The sequence below is a fragment of the Homo sapiens genome, chromosome 3 (assembly GCF_000001405.40).
Source record: "Homo sapiens chromosome 3, GRCh38.p14 Primary Assembly".
NCBI classification, from domain to species: Eukaryota; Metazoa; Chordata; class Mammalia; order Primates; family Hominidae; genus Homo; species Homo sapiens.
In genome coordinates, this window is record NC_000003.12 from 21,398,429 (window position 1) to 21,422,679 (window position 24,251).

At 37.4% G+C, this 24,251-nt stretch overlaps 1 protein-coding gene and 1 pseudogene across 17 annotated transcripts in view, besides 2 other annotated features; one reads left to right on the plus strand and one right to left on the minus strand.

The window, feature by feature from the left end:
* Positions 349 to 849: an enhancer, noted in NCBI's record as "H3K27ac hESC enhancer chr3:21440269-21440769 (GRCh37/hg19 assembly coordinates)". NCBI's record gives its function as "activates a minimal SCP1, AML or CMV promoter by ChIP-STARR-seq in primed H9 embryonic stem cells {active_cell/tissue: H9 hESC(primed)}" and the evidence as "EXISTENCE:reporter gene assay evidence [ECO:0000049][PMID:30033119]".
* VENTXP7 (VENT homeobox pseudogene 7) lies at positions 7,298 to 8,280 on the plus strand (annotated as a pseudogene). The gene has a single exon (NR_002311.1). The product of NR_002311.1 is annotated as a VENT homeobox pseudogene 7 (transcript).
* Positions 7,432 to 7,935: an enhancer, noted in NCBI's record as "H3K27ac-H3K4me1 hESC enhancer chr3:21447352-21447855 (GRCh37/hg19 assembly coordinates)". NCBI's record gives its function as "activates a minimal SCP1, AML or CMV promoter by ChIP-STARR-seq in primed H9 embryonic stem cells {active_cell/tissue: H9 hESC(primed)}" and the evidence as "EXISTENCE:reporter gene assay evidence [ECO:0000049][PMID:30033119]".
* Positions 8,281 to 13,789: 5,509 nt separating the features above from the next.
* Positions 13,790 to 24,251, minus strand: part of ZNF385D (zinc finger protein 385D) — a 960,546-nt gene continuing 950,084 nt past the window's right edge. For 15 of the 16 annotated variants that reach the window (XM_017007192.2, XM_017007191.2, XM_017007199.2 and 12 more), the window contains one exon: positions 17,907 to 23,019. In XM_017007192.2, the coding sequence (XP_016862681.1) occupies positions 22,786 to 23,019 (234 nt within the window). In that variant the 3' untranslated portion in view covers positions 17,907 to 22,785. Of the gene's footprint in view, positions 23,020 to 24,251 lie in introns of all 16 variants that reach the window. The other variant, NM_024697.3, reaches the window with a different exon arrangement.

A 24,251-nucleotide genomic window follows, 5' to 3' on the forward strand; every position in this document is an offset into this window, starting at 1 on the left:
CCTGGAAGCCAAGAAAGACTTCTCAATTTGGGGAAAGGGTGAGTAAGAGACCCTCAGGGGTCCACATTCTCACCATGGATTCCTACAATTCTGGACACAGTATATCCCCATCATGAGTCCTGAAACTAACATAAGGAGCTGCTAGAAAATTGTACCACAGGCACTGCCCCAGGGAGGAAGCTCGTACTCCATCTTTCACATTCCTCGAGACCTAAGCAGCTTCAGCGAGGTTCCACTTTAGAACTCCACCCTCAGGAGACTACGCACTGTCCTGGACCCAGTGGCCCTGGGGCTGATGTGTAAGAGAGTACAGCTGCTGCCCCCAGGGCTTAAGCACAAGTGACTGAGAGCTACTGCACCCAGCATGGAGGTGCAACTGAGGCACATGCTTCCACCCTTAAGACTGAGGCATGAATGAGGCACCATTCTAGAGCCCCACGCCCAACAGACTTCACACTGTCTTGGAGCCCAGGGCTGCTGAGGCTTAGGTACAAGAAAAGAGCTGACTGCTGACTCTAGGGCTGAAGTTCCAGTACCACTTCCAATGACACATGAGTGAAGTGTGTTCTATCACCCACCAGCCTAGGCTACTGTCACTGAAAGTGGCACTTCCTTCTCCCTCAATGACAGGGAAGTAGTGTGGCCATTGCTATCCTCTACCTAAGCATGTTATCTGTGGCCTAGGGACCGCCCCACCCCTCCTTACCATGGCCAAACACTGTATACACCATTGAAGACCTGATAACAAGCCAGCATAATCCAGCTTTTCCCCTCCCTCCCATGCCAGAGTTCACAGTTTGTGGGCCAGGCAATTGCCCGGTCCGGTCTACCACCATTGGCACGTGAATGAACACTCCTCCCAGGAGACTGATATTGGGACTATGCACCTAGCCACTACCACCCCAGCTGGCACCTATCTATATATGCTACCTGCAGACATGGAGACTGGCCCACCCACCATATTTCAGCCACTGCCAATACTAGTGCATAGGGGGACACAGAGGATTGTTCCACCATGGCTACTGTCATTGCCCATGCCATATTGGCAGGCCAGAAGCCTTGGAACCCACCAACCTTCCAGCCCATGGCTGCCACTATTGGCATCTGAGTAAGCAACATGGAGATCCCAAAATTGGCCCACCTGGGCCCACTAACCCAGGTACCAGCATACACCACCCTGAGGTTTACAAACAGGCATACCCAGCTCACCAATGCAACCACTGTGGATCAAAAATTGGCCTAGCTGGCACCCCAGTGGCCAGCAAAACTGTACCACAACCTCCACTAATAACTGCATAAGGAAATATCAGATATCGCTGATGCTGCCTATAGCTGTAGAAGTCATACAGAGACTATACCACTGTATGAACACAGAATCAAAGCCAAAGTGCCCAATCCAACCAACCCCTTAGATTCATCCTTAGGAAAATGTTCTTTCCTTTGACAGCAAATTCAAAAAATTGGAAGAAGCAACTGACACACTAGATATGAAGATATTAAGGTATTAACACAAGAACAGGAAACATGAAAAGCAAGAAAGTATGACACCCCCAAAGGAACACAATAATTACCCAGAAACAGGTCCCTAATAAAAAGAAATTAACAAAATCCCAGAAAAAGGAGTCAAATTATTGATTCTAAAGAAGCTCAGTGAGATGCAATAGAACTCCAAAAAGCAATACGAACAAATAAAAACAATTCAGTATATGAATGAGAAATTTAGCAAAGGGGTACCTATCATAACAAGAGAACTAAACAGTCATTCTGGTACTGAAGAATTCATGGAATGAAGTATAAAATACATTCAGAAGCTTCAATAATAGACTAGATCAAGCAGAAGAAAGAATCTAAGAACCGAAATACAGTTCTTTTGAAATAATCCAATCAGAGAAAAACAAAAAAAAAAAGAACAAACTTTTGTGATATTTGGGATACTCTAACCAAATATGTGAATTATAAGTAGCACAGAAGGCAAAGAGAGAGCAAAAGAGTTAACAAATTTGACAAAATAATAGATGAAGACTTCCCAAGTATAGAAAGAGATTTACAGGACACAGGAGGCCCAGCAATCTCCAGACACAATGCAAAAAATCTCCATGGCACATTATAGAAATAATATCTCAATTCACTTACAAAGAGAGAATTCTAAAAACAGTAAGGGAAAAGCATCTAATCACCTATAAAGGAACCCTCACCAGATTAACAGCAAGTTTTTCAGCAGAACCTTACAGGCCAGGAGAAAATGGGATGTTATATTCAAAGCAATGAAAGAAAAAAAAACTGCTAAAGAAACATGCTATGTATCTCCAGCAAAATTATTCATAATGAAGGCGAAATAAAGTATTTCCCAAATAAGCAAAAGCTGAGGGAATTCACCACTAAGTCGATCTTACAAGAAATGCTCAAGGGAGTCCTAAATCTGGAAGTGAAAGGACAACATCATGGAAACACACAAAAGTATAAAACATAATTGTAAAGCAAATACACAAATGAAAATAATGAAAGACTCAAATAGTACCACTATAGATAACCACCAAATCACAATGAGTAACAATGAGAGGAAAAAAACAGAATAAAGAATATACAAAATAACCAGAAAACAATTAAAAATATAAAAGAAGAAAACCTCACATATCTATAAATAACAATGCATTTAAATTAAATTATCCACTTAAAAGATATACACTTGCTGAGTCAATTTAAAAAACAAACACCTGATTCAACTATATGTTCTCTACAAGAAATGCATGTTAGTTGTAAAGACACATATAGACTAAAACTAAAGGCAGAGAAAAAGATATTCCATGCAATGAAAATCAAAAGTGAACAGAAGTAGTTATACTATCAGATAAAACAGACTTTAAGTGAAAAACAGTAAAAAACTGTAAAAAAAAAAAAAAAAGACAAGGTCACTACATAATGATAAAAGAATAAACCAGCAAGAAGAAATAACATTCTAAATATGTATGCACCCAACACTGGAGCATCCAGATTCATAAAGCAAACATCACTAGATCTAAAGAGAGCAATAGACTCCAGTACAATAATGATATAGGACTTCACCCCACACTTAGCATTAGACAGAGCGTCCAGACAGAAAATCAACAAAGAAACAGTAGACTTAAACTGGGCTTTAGACCAAATGGACCTAACAGACATTTACAGAACATTTCATCCAACTGCAGAATATACATTCTTCTCATCAGCACATGAAACATTCTTCAGGATAGACCATGTTAGGCCACAAAACAAGTGTCAACAAATTTTTAAAAATCAAAATTCTATTAAGTATTTTATCAGAACACATTGAAATAAAACTAGGAATCAATATCAACAGGAACTTCAATAACCATGTAAATACATGAAAATTAAACAACATGAAACAACCATTGAGCTAATTAAAAATTTAAAATGAAAATCAAAAAAATTTTTGAAACAAATTGCAATGGAAATACAACATATCAAAACATGTGAGGTACAACAAAAAAGGAAGTTGATAGCTATAAATGCCTACATCAAAAAAGTAGAAATATTTTAAATAAGTAATTTGACAATGCACCTCAAAGAACTAGAAAAACAAAAGCAAACCACACTCACAATTAGCAGAATGAAAGAGATACTAAAGATCAGAGCTGAACTGAACAAAATATAGACTAAAAAAAATGCAAAGGATAAATGATCAATTAAACAAAAATGGGCTCTTCAAAATGATAAACAAGGCCAGGCATGGTGGCTCACACCTATAATCCCAGCACTTTGGGAGGCCGAGGTGGGTGGATCACCTGAGGTCAGGAGACCATTCTGGCCAACATGAGAAAACCCGGTCTCTACTAAAAATACAAAAATTAGCTGAGCATAGTGGCGCATGCCTATAATCCCAGCTATTCGAGAGGCTGAGGCAGGAGAATCGCTTGAACCTGGGAGGCTGAGGCTGCAGTGAGCTGAGATCACACCACTGCACTCCAGCCTGGGTGAGGGAGCGAGACTCCGACTCTAAAAACAAAACAAAACAAAACAAAAAAAAAAAGGATAAGCAAAATCTATTAACAACTAGCTAGACTAACAAAGAAAAGAAGGGATAAACCCCAAATAAGTAAAATCAGAAATGAAAAATGAAACATTCCAACTGATAACACAGACATCAAAAAGTTGATTAGAGACTATTATGACCAACTATGCACTAAGAAACTAGAAAACTTAGAGCATATGGATAAATTCTAGGAAACATGCAACCTACGAAGATTGAATCAGGAAGAAAGAGAAAATTTAAACTGTCAAAAATGAGTAGTGAGACTGAATTAGTAGTTAAAAGTCTCCCAACAAAGAAAGGCCCAGAACTGCATAGATTTACTGCTGAAAGCAAACATATAGAAAACTAATACTGGCCAGGTGCAGTGGATCATACCTGTAATCCCAGAACTTTGAGAGGTGGGGGATTACTTAAGGCTGAGAATTCAAGACCAGCCTAGGCAGCATAGTAAGACCCCATCTCTACAAAAAAGTATTTTAAAAAATAACCAAGCATGGCAGCACATGCCTGTGGTCCCAGCTACTTGGGAGGCTGAGGCAGGAGGATCACTTGAGTCCTGGAGATCAAGGCTGCAGTAAGCTGTGATTATGCTATTGCACTCCAGCCTGGGTGACAGAGTGAGACTGTGTCTCAAAAAATAAATAAATAAAATAATAATAATAATAATGAAGATAAATGCAAACCCTCCTGCAACTGTTGTATATTTTAAAGAGAAAATAATTCTTCCTAACTCATTTGACAAGGCCAGCATTACCCAATACCAAAACCAGAAAAACACAACGACAAAGAGAAAACTACAGGCCAACGTCACTGATAAACAAAGTTGCAAAAATTCTCAACAAAATACTAGCAAATTAAATTTAACGGCATATCAAAAAGATAAGACACATGATTAAGTGGGATTTGTACCGAGGATGCAAGATGATTAAACATACACAAATCAATAAACATGATGTATCACATCAACAGAATGAAAGGCAAAAACTATATTATTATCTCAATAGACTCAGAACATTTGATAAAATTCAACATCTTTTCAAGATACAAACTTCACATTAACTAGGCATAGAATGAATATACCTCAGTAAAGGCCATATATGACAAACCCACAACTAACATCATACTGAATGGAGAAACGTTGAAAGCCTTTTTTCTAAGTACAAGATGCCTACTTTCAGCACTTCCAGTCAACATGGAAGTCCTAGCCAGAGTATTCAGACAAGAGAAAGAAATGAAAGGCATTCATATTGGAAAAGAGGAACACAAATTGTTCCTCTTTGCAGACAACATGACCTTGTGTTTAGAAAAAACAAAAGACTCCGTCAAAAAACTTGTAGAGGTAACAAACAAATTCAGTCAAGTTGCAAGATACAAAATCAACATACAAAAATCAGCTGCATTTCTTTATATTTATCTATTTATTTATTTATTTATTTATTTATTTATTATTATTATTTAGACAGAGTCTCACTCTGTCACCAGCCTGGAGTGCAGTGGCACAATCTCGGCTCACTGCAACCTCTACCTCCCAGATTCAAGTGATTCTCCTACCTCAGCCTCCTGAGTAGCTAGGATTTTACAGGTGCATGCCACCAAGCGCAGCTAATTATTTTTGTATTTTTAGTAGAGATGGGGTTTCACCATGTTGGCCAGGATGGTCTCGATCTCTTGACCTCATGATCCGCCCACCTCGGCCTCCCAAAGTGCTGGGATTATAGGCGTGAGCCACTGCACCTGGCCAATCAGCTGCATTTCCATATTCCAATAATGAAATAGCCAAAGAAAAAAACAAAGATGGCAATATCATTTACAATAAATGCAAAAAATAAAATACCTAGGAATATGTTTAACCAGAGAGGTGAAAGATCTCTATCAGCTAAACTGTAACACACTGATGAAAGAAATTGAAGAAGATACAAACAAATGAAAAGACCATCCCATGCTCATGGATCAGAAGGGTTATCATTAAAATGACCATAATTCCCAAAGCAGTCTACAGATTTAATTCAATTCCTATGAAAATACCAACGTCATTTTTCACAGAAATAGAAAAAACAATCCTAAAGTTCATAGGAAACATTAAAAGACCCAAAATAGCCAAAGCAATCCTGAGCAAAATGAACAAAGCTGAAGGCATCACATTACCTTACTTAAAAATATATTACAAGGCTGTAGTTACCAAAACAGTATGGTTACTGGTATAAAAATAGACACATAGACAGATAAAACATAATAGAGAACCCAGAAAAAAATGCATATATCACAGTCAACTGATTTTCTACAAAGGCACCAAGAACATACACTGGAGAAAGGACGACCTCTTCAAAAAATAGTGCTGGGAAAATTGGATGTCCGTATTCAGAAAAATGAAACTGGACTTCTTTCTCTCCTCATCTATAAAAATCAACTCAAGATGGATTAAACACTTAAATGTAAGACCTAAACTTATAAAACTACTAGAAGAAAACACAGAGAAAACAATTCAGAATATTAGTCTAGGCCAAGATTTTGTGGCTAAGACCTCAAAAGCACAAACAACTAAAACAAAAATAGGCTAACCAGACTATATTAAACTAAAAACCTTCTGCACAGTAAAAGAAACAGAGTGAAGAGACAACCAGTTGACAGTTGAATGGGAGAAAATGTTTGCAAATCATTCATCTGAAAAGGAATTAATCAGAATATACAAAGAACTCAAACAACTAAACAATTAAAAAAAAGAAAAATTCCATTAAACAGTGAGCAGAATGGGGCCAGGCAAGGTGGCTCACATTTTTAATCCCAGCACTTTGGGAGGCCGAGGTGGGCGAATCACTTGAGGTCAGCAGTTCAAGACCAGCCTGGCCAACATGGTGAAACCCCGTCTCTACTAAAAATACAAAAATAAGCCTGGCTTGGTGGCACACACCTGTAATCCCAGTTACGTGGGAGACTGAGGCACGAAAATCACTTGAATCAGGGATTCAGAGGTTGTAATGAGCCGAGATCCTGCTACTGCACTCCAGCCTGTGTGACAGAGTGAAACTCTGTCTCAAAAAAAAAAAAAAAAGTGGGAAAGAACATGAAAAGACAGTTCTCAAAAGAATACATACAAATGGCCAACAAGTATACGAAAAAATTATCAGCATCATTATTTATCAGGAAAATGCAAATCAAAACTAAAGATTACATATCATCTTATCCTAGTTAAAATGGCTATTATTAAAAAGACAAAAAGCAAGCTGGATCCTGCGCCTGGCCAGCCCCGCCCGACCTTCCCTCCGGCCCACCTGACCGCCATGTGTCTCTCCTCCTCCCCACCTCGTGGCTGGCAGCAGCCCTCCAGCTTTGGCTCCGTGGACTGGCTCTGCCTGAGCAGCTGCTCAGGGTCGACCCACACCCCCAGGCCTGCCGACGTCTCCCCCGGGAGCCTCCCTGGCCCGGGCCAGACGTTCGGCACCCGGGAGCCCCCTCAGGCTGTCAGTACCAAGGAGGCTAGCTCGTCAAATCTGCATGCGCCGGAGAGGACTGTGGCTGGGTTGAGTAAGGAGCCAAACCCCTAGCTGGCTCCCGGTGTCCGCACAGCCTTCACCACGGAGCAGGTCCGTGCCTTGGAGGGCGTCTTCCGGCACCACCAGTACCTGGGCCCTCTGGAGCGGAATTGGCTGGCCAGGGAGATGCAGCTCTCAGAGGTCCAGATAAAAACCTGGTTTCAAAATCGCCGGATGAAACACAAACGGCAAATGCAGGACTCCCAGCTAAACGGCCCCTTATCGGGGTCTCTCCACGGGCCCCCTGCTTTCCACTCACCATCTTCTGGCCTTGCCAATGGCCTGCAGCTGCTGTGCCCTTGGGCACCCCTGCCTGGGTCCCCTGGCTGCCCCTTGGCTCCTTCTGGGGTCTCCGACAAATGGATCAAGAGGCCCTGGCCTCTTCGTGGGCTTCCTGCTGCGGGCAGCCTCTGGCATACCACCCCCCACGCCCAGGAAGTGGTGCGCATAAGCTGGGACCAGCCCTGTCCACGGGGCCCCGGGGCCTGTGTGCTCTGCCAGAGACAGGGGATGCATTTGAGGAAACGCCTCCGACTACATGCCTCCCACACAAGCGGTCTGTGCAGATCGCATCTGACGCCTACCCGGAGGACTCAGCTGTTCTGTTTACATCGTGGCGGCACCTCTCACCCTGACCCTCGCAAAGGTTCTGGAGATTTCTGGAGAATATATTTGTTAAAGTCACCTCTTCACTTAAAAAAAAAAAAAAAAAAAAAAAAAGGACAAAAAGCAATAGATACTGGTGAAGTGTGGAGAAAAGGGAACTCTTATACACTGTTGGTGGGAATGTACATTAGTACAACCATTGTGGAAAATACTGTAGAGATTTATCAGAAAACTAAAAATACAGCTACCATATTCATCAGCAATCCCACTACTGAGGGTCTATCCAAAGGAATAGAAACCAGTGAATATATCAAAGGGATACCGGCACTGGCATGTTTATCACAGCTCTATTCTCGATAGTAAAGAAATGGGATCCATGTAAGTGTCCATCAATCAACAAATAGAGAAAGAAAAAATGTGGTATACATTCACAATGGTGTACTATTTGGCTATAAAAAAGAATGTAATCGTGTATCAGCAACCAGGATGAAAGTGTATATCATTATTTTAAGTGAAATAACCCAGGCACAGAAAGACAAACCGCATGTCCTTACTCATGTGTGGGAGCTAAAAATGTTAATCATGTAAAGGCAGAGAGTAGAATAATAGATACTAGAAGCTAAGAATGTTGGGTGGGTGAGGGGAGGATGAGAAGAGGTAGGTTAACAGGCACAAATACACAGTTAGATAAAAAGTATAAATCCTATCTTTCCACTGTAGAGTGACTATAGTTAAGAACACATATTGTATATTTCAGTGTTTCTAGAAGAGAGGATTTGAATCGTTCCCAATGCATAGAAATAATAAATACTCAAAGTGATGGATGCCTCAAATCCTTGACTTGATTATTATACAGTCTATGCATATAAAAAAATATCACATGTACTCCATAAATATGTAAAATATTATGTATGAATAAACATAAATAAATACGCATTTGGCACAGAGTGTGTTGCTGGGTATGTTTTAGTTACCCTTCCCTCTCCTATCCAATATAGTATAGGGTACATTATAACCGCATATTAATAAAGTATGCACGAATGGATGAAGAGTGGACAGATGGAGAAATAAGATATTCAGTAATATTATTGTAATCTAAAATATCAATTACTTTTCTAGGGTAAACATTTTATGTCTTCTGAATTAGATTCCCTCATAATCTGTTTTATTAAATACAAATTACTTTAAAAATTGTTATTGGAAAAGTTCTTATTTCAGTCCACTTGTTTTATAAATTTGAAAAAGATTAAACTCATACATTTTATTAAACAAATAAAAAAAATGTTAGCTTGACATGGAGCATGATTAATGATTGCTTCGGTGTAACAGGCATAAATTGGAAGTATTTCAGGCAAACTAGAATGACTAATCAGACTACCTAAAAATGACCCATAACTTTCAATGGCACTAAGAGTTGATGTTATGCATCTCTTTTTTTCCTTCTAATTGCACCTGTCTCTTTCATACCTTATCCTTGGATTGTATTAATGATCACATGCTATTTTTAAAAAGTACTAGAAATATTTGAGCTTCTTATGAGACTAGCCTGAAACTGGACGTCAAGTTTTTTACTTCATCCCATTCTACATCCTTGACCCCTTTCCCCCTGTAAGTACCCCTTCAGTAACAAAGAACTTTGCTGAGAAGCCCATTTTGGGCTCTGCTTCTAGAGGACCTAACCTAAGACAATGGGATTTGGTGTGGCTAGCAAGGTATGGCATTTTTAGAAAAAAGAAAAAAATAGGAACAAAGATAGTTTTCAGGGCCCTGTTTTGCTTGCCTGCACCTCAAATCTCAACAATAAAAGTGGCTTTATGATGGTGGTTTTGTTCATGAACTAGCAAAGTATTAAGATAGCAAATGTCTCCTTAAAGGGAAGGGTACAAATTGAATGTGAGTTCTCGAGGAAGGGTAAGAGAAACCTAATGTTGTGGGTTGATTTGATTCTCCCAAAAACATATGTTGAAGTTCTACCTCTAGAAGAACCTGAAAATGTGGCTTTACTTGGAAATAGGGTCTTAGCAGATGTAATTAGTTAAGATGAGGTCACACTTGAGTAGGATGAATCCTAAATCCAATATGACTGGTGTCCTTATAAGAAAAAGAGAAAAGACAAACATGCAGAGAAACGAAAGTCGTGAAGACACATAGGAACAAGCCCAATAAATGACAAAGGCCGACACTGGAGTGCATATCTACAAGCCACAGAATGCCAAGGATTGCCAGCAACCACCAGAAGAGTGAGACATGGAACAGTCTTCCTCTGACAATCTAAGAAACAACCAATCCTGCTAATACTTTGATTTTTGACTTCCCACCTCTAGAACCGTGAGAGACTACATTTTTTGTTGTTTCAAGCCAACAAAGTTTATGGCAATTTGTTTCAGAAGCCCAAGGAAACTAATATACCTGAGTATACAATGGCAGTGAGTTAGCATAAAATAGGCTTTCTTAAATAAATCTGGCAGAGCCATATCTGTACCAAGCAAGCATCCCTGGCAACTGTGGCCCTGTTTCTCCTACCTCCCACCTAAAAGGAATCCAGAGGAAAAGAAACAGTGGCCACAATAGACCTCGTTTTCTACTGCCCTGTATAGCATTTTGCTTCCCATAAGTTCTGCATCTTTGGCTAAATAAATCACAAACTTGCAGAGGTTATGATTATCTAGTCTTTTCCATCATAACCCAACCCACCTGAAATGCTCTGACACTCTAGAAAATAATTCTAATTAATGAATAAAACATGGTAAACTGATAATTAGCTTTTGAAGGTGAAAGTGAGCTCTTTAACAGGAGGGTAATTCAGTAATGTTCTAATTGTTTTCCCCAGCATCAGACATTACCTGACACTTCATTTTTGCTTCAGCATAACAATTCCCAGCCTATGTTTAGAAAGATCATGTACAATTTCTTAGGATTTGGCTAGAAATTATTCATAATGCCTGGATTACACACTTTGAGAAATGTGAAGTTGTATGTTATTTAAGCTTCCAAATCCAGCTGTGGCGAGGGCTTTCTGGCTTGGAATACTCAATGGAAACTTATGAACAGCCCTATTTTTTATTTCTAAGCAAAACAATGTGAAAGAGACCTCTGCTATTAGATAATTAGTGATTTCAAAAGTATAGATGCTAATATCAACGTTAATTGGGTTAGTTTATTGCATAGGCAGATGAAAAGGATAGATATTTAGCATGTGATGGATAATTCTGCATTTTAAATGCTGTTCCTGAATGTTGGGGAAAAGGGGGGTTATTTTGAAAGTTGATAAAACATGTTTGTATGGATCTTTTTCAAACTGATAATCTGACAGGTTACATGTATTTGGGGGAGAGTGTCAGTGGCCCTCTAAAGAATCAGAATGTATTCAGCAAATGTATATTCAGAAACAATATTTCTGAATTTTCTTCATATCTGACTTCAAGAGAGAATTAAATAGGTAAGGACTTGTTTTCATATGAAAAATGTTTGGTCTTTCTTCCTAAAGTCCAATTTCTGCTATTAGCAGAAGCCAAACCTTCCTGTAGAGAAACACACAAAAAAAATGACAGAATTTGTTTCTTGGTATAGTCACCCACTGCATAAACCAAATCAAATCTTTCCTAGGTGTCAACTGTAAGAAATCCCACACACACTCAAGTCACTAATTTGTCACAGATCATACTCTGGTAAAGAAAACCTTTATTGAAGGTGTTTGTAAAAAAAAAACTCCCCTTGTTGAAAATGCCTATCCAAAATAATAATAAAAAACATTACAAGGGGAACCCACTGGGAGAGAAGGTAGATGGATGAAGACCCTTAAGACTAGCTAGTAAAAGAGTACCTGGTGGCTAAGAACCTATAAGCCATGCTGGGGGTTGCAAACCAAACTTATTACAGGGACCTGCACAAAGCAAAGACTGGGGCCTTCAAGTACAGATTGTAGAAAGTTGTAAAATTCTGTTTAGTCCAAAGGGGCCAGTCGCAGTTCATTTAGCTAGTTCTGCAGCCAATAAACGCCTAGTGGGAATTCAGTACCAGGACACTCTCAGATTTTTTTTTTTTTTTTTTTTTACTTTTCAAGAAAAATCAGAAATTCTCATTTTATTTTAATTTTGGAAGCAAATGTTTATTTTTCCCTTAGGCATATAATTCTTTCAGAGGCTTTAAAGTTTACTACTGTTTTTCCCACAAAGTCTATTCGTTCAGTCTCCTATTAGAGTTATATCTGGGCATTTTAAGGTTGTTTTTATAATGTTACATCTTGTCTAACTTTTTTTTCTTCCACTTTTCCTTTTTCTTCCCCTCTTTTTGGTATTATTATTTCTGCTCTTTTCGCTAAGATGAAATATAAAGACATCAGCCTTAGAAGACCAGTAGAGAACGTTTCAGGCACTTGCTGATACATTCCTTCTTTCCTAGTAAAATAAGTTTTGAACACACGAACTAGATTTCTTTTAGAAATAAGTTGTGTCATCCATAGCTCCCCACTGGGATGGAGCATTGGTATCAACACCAGAAACATGTTTTGAACTAACATGGAAGAAAGAGCTGGTTTTGTAAATAGGTGAACCTGGTATTTGACTACGTAGTAGTCAGGAAATTGGTGGAGTCTGCAATCTGTGGGGCTCTGGTGTCTGGAAAATTTTACAGTTGCAGATTGATGTGAGCATGTAGCATTAGGCAGAATATTCAATCCAACTTTCCATTTTATAATGCATACAAAGAGAACAGTTGTGTTGCATCATTATTACATCAAAAGGTCTAACTTTTATTATTCACTTATGTAAGATTCACATTGATTTAAATATGGTTATGGTAATAAATGATAGGCATAGAGAAATGCTACTGACATCTTTCATGTTCATCTCCTCTGAGTTGAAATATATTTAAACCTGTTACTTAATGGGCCTGATAAATTATTTTGACCTGTCAGAATAGACTAAAAAAATTTAGCAATGATAATTTTCAATTTGGCAGCAAATATATACCGTATGCATAATAATTTTTTTACAATAGTTTTCTCTGAATATTCATGTCTTTGAATTTCAATACGATACCATTTGTATCATAAAATTGTATACCATTTTTGGTATATTATTCATTGTATATTCAGAGAGTGTGAAAGAAAACCTTAGTTGGTGCGCATACTTTTCATCTCCTGTTGTTCTCGAACATGAATGAGAACTTATTGCAACACATTTTCTTTTCCATGTGTTGGCGTTAACATGTTTTTATGGGCTTATAGAATTTTAAATGTTGATAAACGATGTTTCCAAAGGTTCAAGTTTGGATTTTCTCTATCCACCAGGCTTAATCAGTCTAGCAGTGTCTTTAGTAGCAGATAGAAAATAAATTATAGAAATTCTCATTTTAAAAACACTTTTTTCAAAGCTGTTTGGGAACTAAAATAAAAAAAAATTTCAGCCCTATGGAAACATGGATTACCATCTTGCAACCTCTTGTCGTCACTAAAATTTTATTTTAGCAAAGGCCAACTATAAGCATTCAAAGTTATGGGTAACATTATTTTTCTGCCTTACATTAAACTGAAATGCTCTAAGTGGTCAGTTTAAGTGTGAAAACATTTACCTTGTTTAACAAGGGAGAGAGAAGGGGTAATGGAACAAGCATCATCCAGAACTGAATGAAAATAAGATATTTTACTTTTTTTCTTTAATCAGCACATTTCTTTTGATAAATAGTCATGAGACGTGTTCTGTGAGTCACTACAATTCTCACTTGGCACTTGGAACAGTCGTGTTATATAGGTTTACCATAACTCTCAGAACAGGAGTATATTACAAACAAGTGGAATAGAACATAGAGAATACATAATTTGTTCTAATATTCCTCTTCCTTAGAGCCTTCAAACTTAAACCAAGTTGAAAAAAAAAGTTTCCCAAATTGAAAACATTGCCTATGGATTATCTACAGAAGAGAGGAAAATAAGCAACCATTTTGATTCCACAAACCAAGCGAAGAATAAGGACATGAACAGACCAATGTCTTGACACCACTGGCAATATTACATTTACCTGGACAATTTTGATATTGTCAAAGAGAGAGGATATAATGGCTAAGGATGTTCCTAGAGCTGCTGAAGGAACCAGAGAGCTTTCATCCATAAAAATATCACTGGTGTCTTTCTTTTACTAAAACTGAAAATTCATCTTAAAGAATTCCTAATAAAAATAAATATTAATTTGTTCACAGCTGCAAGTTTAACTTAGTACAGGACCACAGACAAGATAAACTGTGCTATATTTTACATTTCTGAGTCAATAATATTGGAAGCAGCTTCATTTTATAGTGGGGGAAATTATTGGCATATGGGGGATTTTATCACATATCATGTAGGGTGAGAAATTGATGTTTGGGGAGATGTTATCACATGACTTAAAACAGAAGACTGGCATAAAACAAACTATGTGAATTGCCTTAATTATTATTATTATTACTTTTTTTCAAGAAAAAATAGTACTTTACTGGTATACAAAGGGTAGTTCTTTGGGTTTTTAATGAAAACAAATATAACAATAACATATAGAATCATCATTCAACTATCATAATATAAAACACAATAAAATCCTATCTCACGTTTCCAAGCCCACCTGGGGATATGTAGAACTCTGATGAAAGGTTTATTCAGTAAGATTTGACGAGATGTAAAAAGCAAATTTATTTACCGAACACATGGGCCATTAAGGTGGCACAAATTAGCATTCTGAGCGTTTTGGCTTCTGGTACTCAAGTCAGACTTCCAGATACATTGATAAAGATGGAACAGGCAAGTTTGATGCCAAGGTGGCATCACTGTGGCTGACCAATGATTCGGAATCTCACATTGGTGTGACTAGTGATTATAGTTAAGTCAATGCTTTGCCACCCCCCAGCTTTGTTAGTTTTTGTAAAATCAAATTCACCATGTCAACTGTACCTCCCTCCAATGCTTGTGGTAATGCTCTTTCAAATGAGGTATTCTTGTTAGCAGGTAAAACCTTATATGATCCTTTGCCAAGAGATTGATATTAGATAAAACCCTGGTTATATTTTTTAAGCCATAAGAATATAAGAGGAGAAAAATAGCATGAATATTTTTCCTTTATTTTTTGCAGGGTCACAAGCATGTAGAGCAAACCATAGTCTATTTTTAATTTCAAAATAGTGCTCATGTTTGTGAACATTAATGCCAAAGTTTTCAATAAGCTTGGTTGTCAAAAGAACACTGCCTTCAATTTATAGTCACTAAATGCATGTGGATTAAAATATTTTTAGATCTCAAAACTAAAGTTCAAATTGGCTCATGTTAGTAAATAGACATACTTATCACTCAATTTATTCGACAGTGTCTGTTTGTAGTTTTATTGTGAAGAACAGCCATTTTAAAATAGCCAAACATCCAGTTTTTGTGAGAGCTGAATATTTCATCATACATTGGATAACACTAAATTTTCCCCGACTGACCACTCTTGGTAGTCGATTTAAAATTTGTTGTAAAATTTCAGTGAATTAAATATTATTAGAAGAAATTATTGACTAAGTTTCATGTGCTAGGATATAACTTATTTTTCTCACCTAGGCTTTTATTTAATAAAAATTGCTGTGGATTTACAAAACAAAACAAAACAAAACAAAACAAAACAAAAAAAAGTTCAGTTAGGAGACCTTAGTTGAAACTGACATAAGATTTTTGCTGATAAAATAAATGAAAGAAACTATGACTAAAAATATTCCCCGAAGAAACAATGTTCTTTGCATATAGCTCCATGTGCAGATTAAAAACTATATTTTTAAAAACACTCCAACCTTTTTTCAGGACAAAAGAGAAAGCTAATATAGCTACAAATGATGTAGCTTTGGCATCAGGTCAGTTCCATCTTAAATATGTAGTAATATAAACGCTGTAACTATAAGTCACATTTTAAAACGACTTTATGAAATTTATAGAAATATGGCTTAGATTTTGGAGCTATTTTGAGTAGCAAATGACTTGCTTTTACTAAATTCAGCTTTTTTAAAAGCACATTTCTGTAATCAGTCATTATCCCTATTTTTATCAGAGAGAATCATCAAAATGTCAAGTGAATTGGCCCAGTTTCCTCGTAGATGATTGGTAGTGAAGCCAACAACTGTGTTCACTGTTCTGTGATGCTCGATCTTGTGCCCAGATCCCTTGGCCACAAGGCTTTTTCGCCAATATCCAGTACTTCCACACATTTTTCTATAATCCATTTAAAAACCAGATGCCATAAAATGGAATTTTTCTTGACTATTTGATAAAAGTTAAACTTTCCAGGATCTCACGAACTCAATTCCTTTTTCATCTCTACTAATGTTAGCATAACATCATAAGAGACATAAAGCATCTCACGAAGGGTCTTTATCCAATATTAGTTGCCCCTAGCCCTAGGGTCCTATACTGAAATTATATAACAATGTGTGTTAAGTTGGGTTGACAAACGTCCAATAAAACCCATATCATTATTTTGGTTAACAAAATTTAACACACTTCACTATAGCTTTAAAACTCTCTGACATCATTGTTTCTCAATAGATTTATGTTGAACAATCCTATTAGTGAGAGACTTTAAAAATAATATTTGTTGTACTGGCAAAAATACAATCTGGGTTTCCAATGAAGGCTCTCTCTGCTAATTTTCCGTTGTCTTGTTATACCATGTCCTGCACACTACCTGGATTTGAGGAAGATTTTATAAGCATTCAAAGTCAGTACTCAAAGTCAGTAGCTGATGTGAAATGATACAATTGTATGACCCAACTCAAACTGTTAGCATAATAGTCTTGCTAGAGTGCATAACATCTTAACATTATATCTACTTCCCAGCCCCTCCAATGCCCTAAAATGATTAATGCCCCAAAATGATTAAGACTCCCAAGTGTGACATTGGAGTTCCTTTTGTTAAAGTAAAACCAACCTAATCATTGAAAATAAAATGATTTTACCATGGCTTTGTAAAAGAATGACAGGTACTAAGACTCATATTTTTACAATTCTGTATGTGTGTGCGTATATAAGCATTAACCTTAGAACTCGTCACTATACTATTACTTATTTTTAATTATACTTCTTTGCTCACAAATCATTTTAGCCCTAATCTTTAAAAATTGCCTTTAGAGATGACCTGCCAGTCTGAAAATAACATGACCCCATTATCGGCTGTCTTAGTTAACCAAACTCTAAGATACTCTACCTGATCATATATATTAATAGTCAGATTTTACTTCGTTTGACAAATACATTTTAGCAGTTTCTACAGTCAACTTAGCCACCTAGGAAGGATGAGTTTCCATCACTGAGAAGAGGAAAGAGAAGACCCTCAAATTGAAGGTAATGTTCAGTCCCTTGACATCTGAACATTGATGACCCAACCAGAGAATTCTTTAAACTCTGTGACTCTTCATGACCTGCATGAACTTCTTTTTTTTTTTTTTTTTTTTTTTTTTGAGACGGAGTCTCGCTCTGTCGCCCAGGTCGGACTGCGGACTGCAGTGGCGCAATCTCGGCTCACTGCAAGCTCCGCTTCCCGGGTTCACGCCATTCTCCTGCCTCAGCCTCCCGAGTAGCTGGGACTACAGGCGCCCGCCACCGCGCCCGGCTAATTTTTTGTATTTTTAGTAGAGACGGGGTTTCACCTTGTTAGCCAGGATGGTCTCGATCTCCTGACCTCATGATCCACCCGCCTCGGCCTCCCAAAGTGCTGGGATTACAGGCGTGAGCCACCGCGCCCGGCCATGAACTTCTAATAAAATAACACATATTTTTCCAGAGTAGAACCTGCCTTTTGTCACCATTCACATTCTGGTAAGTTGTAAGTCCATTCCTGGCAGTAACAACCTTTAGGCCAAATGAGCATGACATGTCAACCTATCCGTCTTTCACTGGACACCCTGATACCACTCTCAGAAATACCATGTAGGCAATGGAGACCTACCATTAGAAATGATCCATTTCACTTCCTGATAGTAGCCTCTCTAGCTACTGAAGCAAACCATACAAAAACACAAGAGATGCTCCAGAGATAAATCTCCCCATGTAGAAAGAAAAAAAAATCAGCAAAAGTCAGGTAAAACTTTCACTGTTAGGACTCAGTTTAAATAATTCCTGTAACAATGACAAGAGCGCATAACTGATATACTTGTCTGTGGAAGAGATGGTCTTAATAAGGCAACCATTAGTTAAAATACATGCAAACGCAGGACAGAATTAGTTATGGCTTAGTCGGGACCCCTTCCTATTGAAGAGAGAAAGTGCAACAAAAGAAATAAGGATGATGCATTTAAATTGTTGTTCCCTTCCACACCCCCACTGCCAGCTGTCTATTGCCTTTTTCAGGGTTGGTTTTGTTCAGAATTTATTACATTCTTGACTGGGAAAATAGAAGTAGCATATCTTACATGATGTTGGCATAAGTGCGATCATAATAAGTGAGTACTAAGTGAATTAGCAACTACTCCAATATTGGTGAAATGTACATTCTGGTTGAGCATATGAATGACCTACAATATGGCTTACACTCAGGATGGAAAGGAATACAGAATATTTTTCTGGACATATGCAAGTATGTGAGTAGCTGCATTGGTCACTCGAATAAAGAATTTTTATTCCTGAGAGGATAAAAGCAATGCCCCTCTAGTGCTGATGTATTAAACCAGCTTAGCTATTAATCACTGTCATCCATTTTACTGATGAAGAAATTAAGGGCAAGGCATTAGTTGACTATTTAAGTTACCCTGTTGGTCAGGGACAAAGTCTACAATAGACTCTGGCTACTCTAAGGCTCCTCATTGCTTTTCCCACCACTTCATGCGGCTTTTGGGTGAACAAAGTTATTAATACAATGTCATCCATGCTTATGTATAGAAAGGTAATTTTCTACTTCAATTCAGATCTAAAGAAACAGGCCTATATACCACTTCAGTTACCTTTTAGCTTTCTGATCTGATTTCTTCAGAACAATTGAAACATTACACTGGTACAAAGACAAAGATATTAATTTAAAATTTAATTGTAATTGGTGATATTTATTGCTCATGTCTACTATGTGTTGGTTTGTGCCTTAGAAACTCAAATAGGCACAGCCTCTTTGATTCTATTTTGAAACTTCTGCTGTCTTTTAATTCTTAGTCTTTTATGATTTCCTGCTCTTTTAATTTTCAAGTACATATAAATACTCCTTTGCTAACTAGTTTCTTGGCAACAAAATATGTAGCACCTTTAGAAAAACCAAATTTCATCTCTGATGATAATGGCAGTGAATTACTGCGATAGATCAGGAGAAGCCAAATAGTACCTAAAGATAGAAATCCTTTCAAATGAGGCAGGGGTGATATAAATTGCCAAAAGCCAAGTATGTTTGCTTATGTGAATAAAAAAAGTACTCTTCAAAGTTGAGGTCCAGTGAGAGGAGCAATTTATCATGTGTAATTGCCTGTTTTCTCATAAGAGAAATACAGTACCTCCCCAATGACTGTTTCCCATTTGTCTGGACGATCTGATTGAGGTGCAACAATGCTTTTTCCAGAGGCATTTGGCTTCTGCAATGCATTTATATTTGTTTCAAATGAATCAGAGCTGCTTTCTCTATCACTTTCCTTGCCATGGTGTGATGCATGGGAAGGAATGTAAAACCATAAAGTCAGACCACCCTCAGGGATTTTCACAGCACACTGCTGACCAATCTAAATTGTGGATCTTTATTCATGAAAAAAGTTCCCTAAGGGAAAAGATACAGTTTTATGGCAGCCTGAACTATAATGGATGTTAATCTGGTATTGGTAAATATATGGAGTGTGGGGGAAACAACTCACAGAGAATCCACTGTAAGTTCTGTGGTTAGGCTTCATCCTTTATTAGGTAGTGAATAAAAGACAACTGATGCTTACAACTCCAATTTAAAAGACCATTTAAACAAAAATGGTTCCATAGCGAAGTGAGGCAGAAGGGATCCAGGTATTTCTGAGATTTCTTATATGGCTGATGGAGAAAATATGGCTGATTCGTTTGTTCCCAGCAAATCATTAAAGACAGTAATGCCTTGTGACCCAGGACACTGTGTATCCCATAGGCCCTGATTTTTAGTGGACTGGCTCATTCACTTTGGTGAAAATGGGAAAGAACAGCAAAAGCACGTTTTAGTGAGACTGCTTTAATTAACACTAAGTTATCTAACAGAAAGTGAGGCTGTATCAGTTGTAAAGGTTGTTGGATAGGGACTCAGGATGATTATGGAAAATCAAAATATTTGACATAGCAGAAAAGGGAAACTAAAGTTCAAAATGGTTAGAAGCTGGTCACATGGGATACAGACAGAGCCCCAAACAACAGACTTATGGGCAACTATCCACCTGGCTGAACTACCAGGGTCTGTAGGTGAAAAAGGAAACACTTGCTAAAACTAGAGAATAGAGATGCTGGTAAATGCAAAATCACCAGATACTTTCAAAACAAATTTTAATGCTAATCAATATATTTAACCAGAGAAGCATGGTTTGAAATTCTTTCTACCAGAATACTGATGGAACACATTATCTTCCTTTCTTCCTTCCTTCCTTTTCTTCCCTTCCCCATCTCCTTTCCTTCCTTCCTTCCCTCCTTTCTTCCTTCCTTCCTTCCATTCTTCCTTCCTTCCTTCCTTCTTTCCTTCTTTTTTTTTGTTTTTGTTTTGGTTGGTTAACAAAGGATATATAAAGCCAACTGCTTTAAAGATTCATTTATATGACAAATTTCTATAGCTAGATGGTGGAGAAGAACTCCAAAAAACCATGTTTAATGTTGAGCACCAAGCACGCTATGGTGTTTCTTAAATATAAAATGATAAATGCTAAATACCTATGTCTCAAATGGTTTCCTCTTGATTCTTTATACCTCTCCAAGGGTTACAACACTTTGAGAGCAGTTTCAGGAAGGCCACACCCAATCCTTCCCTATATTTTTAAATAGTCTTTAGAAAACCTTTTCAAAAATAGTTTTTTCTCTAAACCTAAATCATGTATGTTTTGTCATTATTCTAAGTTTCAGTGTCATTGCTCTTATTAATGCAACAGACTGGCTGCATCAAACCCCACCATTTTGATAGGTATATGTCAGCTTTCTATGGGAAAAAGCAAATAGCCTTTATCACAAATTAAAGGCACAGCTATTTTTATGCCATTTGTTACCAATTTAATGATAACATGTAACACTGGATGGTTATATAATTATTTTATATAGATTTTTTCTTTTTATAACTTATTCTCTTAATCTTTCTAACATATATACAATATACATATATTTATATATACCCCTGATAAATCTTGTTTTAAAGGTAAAACATCAACTTCTTTCAGCCTGATGGTGAATATCAAAGGCTCTCAGTATTTCACAACTCCACTGGAGAAATAATTGTCGAGTGGAACTTACCAGTATTTTTTAACACTATGTCATTGGTGTGCAATTAACTCAGATTCATATTTCCTGTTGTTATTAACATTTAAATATATATTAATTGTTTATATCATGTCAGCAGGTAATCTAAAAAACAAGAAAAACCCATAAAAATAGCTAATGCTTAATTCTACCATCATACTTAAAGCAGAAACCTTTGCCTAAGAAACAACCCTACTGGTATGATATAAAGGGGATACTGCAGAGATGCAACATTCTCCGTTTTTACTGGATATGTACTAAATGAAAGATCTTTACTTTGCATTATCATTCTAGGTTATGATTCTTCATCCTTGAAATAGAAGAGTTGTATTGATTTCTTTCTTAACACTCATGATGCATGGGTTTCTCTGCTTTCAGATATAGGTTCATTATAAACACTTCCCTGTTTCCAGCAATATATCTTCAGGGTGGGAAGTTACTACTTTATAAGAAATCACCTTTATTAATGCCTCCCCCATCTCTAAGCTTAGCCCTGTTATATCTTCAAGCTAGACAGGAGGGGAGAATGCTGACCAGGGAGACCTCCATGACACCATCCGGTGTATGTTTATTTTTTGACTGCTTATTGGTATGAAATAGTTGTTCATTCTACCTTTGCAATTCTTTAAAACCTAGTGGCATAGATTGAGACACAGCACTATTGTTTTACAAGACATCTACTGTATCTACTTTTGTTGGGATAAATACCCAGTAATTGCCGTCATAGCAAGAGGACCAGCACGGGTAGTACTATTCACAGTGTTGCTTTTGTTTTTGTTTTTTTCCTTTTTTTTTGTACGATTTTAATCTACAGAGTAAATTATTTTATATACATTGGAACCAGTTAATGCCCTTAGACAATGTATAGTTGTTTCATAAAGCAGGACAGACAATGCAGAGGGAAATAGGTGCCCAAAAGCACAGTCACAGAGGCTTCAGAAGGTCTAGATACCACTACAAATCAATGCTGGAGATCACTTCTAAAACAATCAGCGTTCAAGAGGAATGCTTTAATTTGGAGAAAATACCACTCCCTCCCTCCCACCCCCAAACCTCCCCCACTTTTTTATAACCTTTTCAATTCACTATCAAAAGTCCTGGCTCTTCAGATATACTTTAAACTATAAATAAACACTGCATAGTTCTCTTTTGTTTGTTTTGTTTTTTGTTTTTTGAAAAATTATTGCAGTACAATTACTCCTATTTGGAATTTAGTAAGGAGCAAACAGCACAGGAGTGTGGGCGGTCCGAATGGGTCCAGGAGCTGGCCGCAGGAGTGCCGGAGGAAGCGCGGAAGTCTGGAACAGTGTTGCTGCTGGAGCAGTTCGAAGACTGAAGGGGGAACTCACTGCCACTGCTGCTGCGGCTGCTGCAGCTGCTAGAGGATTTGGTAGAATTCGTGGAGCCAATGGCTTTGAAGGTTCTTTTGAAAATACTAATTTTACCTGCAAGGGAGAAAAAATATTGTAAAAAAAACAACAGTTTTGGAATTTGTACTTAAAACCCAAAATGGCAGGGAGCTTTTAAAATATAGCAGTAAACAACTATAAAGAAAAAAGCTTCACACTTGTGAACTGACAACAAAGAAAATGGGAAGTATAGAACATTTTCCCTTTGGAAGAGTTGGAAGATACCTGAAAATGGCCAACCGGGAATGCTTGAAAAGTTCTCTAGAAAAGTACTCAGCAACCTTATTTTATTATATGTTTGTTGAAAATTATATTTCCAGAGGAAAGTATTCATCATGAGAAAATATAGAATATTTTTATCACCCTTTACACATACATTAACTACTAAAGAGCATATATTTCTAAAGGGATTTTTAATGCTGTCAAATGCCATTCGACTAGCCAAGGGTGTAACCTGGGTTACATAGAGAATGTTGTTTCCAATTGTATGAGGTACTATTCAAAATAAATAAAAACAATAAAATTCCACTTTCAACTGAGAAATTTAAAAAACAACCAAAAATACCTTTTCTCCCCTAAATTTTGACACGTTCCACTTTTTCTTTATGCAAATGGTAACCACATTTTCTCAGTCCTTCTCTACAAAGCCAGTTCATTCTCTGGCTAGTAACATCAATAAAATACCTGTTCTCACTGAGAGAATGTTCCCATTTGTGGAGTCAGTAACATAGTGATGGTGAAGAAGGAGGGTTTGTATACTAATAGCAACACAATTTTGACTACTCTGTTTATTTAAGAACCATTCACTTGATTGTCAAAAGCTGCATCTGTGCTGGACAGAGATAGCATTCAGGGTTATGACTAGTGGTGCTGAAGCACTGTGCAGAATTCTTCACCTCCCAATGCAGCTAAAATTGTGTCTTTACAGAAAAGTAAAGTAACTTTACTTTTTTAAACTTTTATTTTAAGTTCAAGGGTACATATACAGGTTTGTTATGTAGGTAAATTTGTGTCATGCCTTGCTGTACAGATTATTTCATCTCCCAAAATTGAGGAGGAACTTCTCCCTAACTCATTCTATGAGGCCAGCATCATCCTGATACCAAAACCTGGCAGAGACAAAACAAAAAAACAAAACTTCAGGCCAATATCCTTGATGAACATCGATGCAAAACTCAACAAAATACTGGTAAACCAAATCCAGCAGCACATCAAAAAGCTTATCCACCACAATCATTTTGGCTTTATCTCTGGGATGAGAGGTTGGT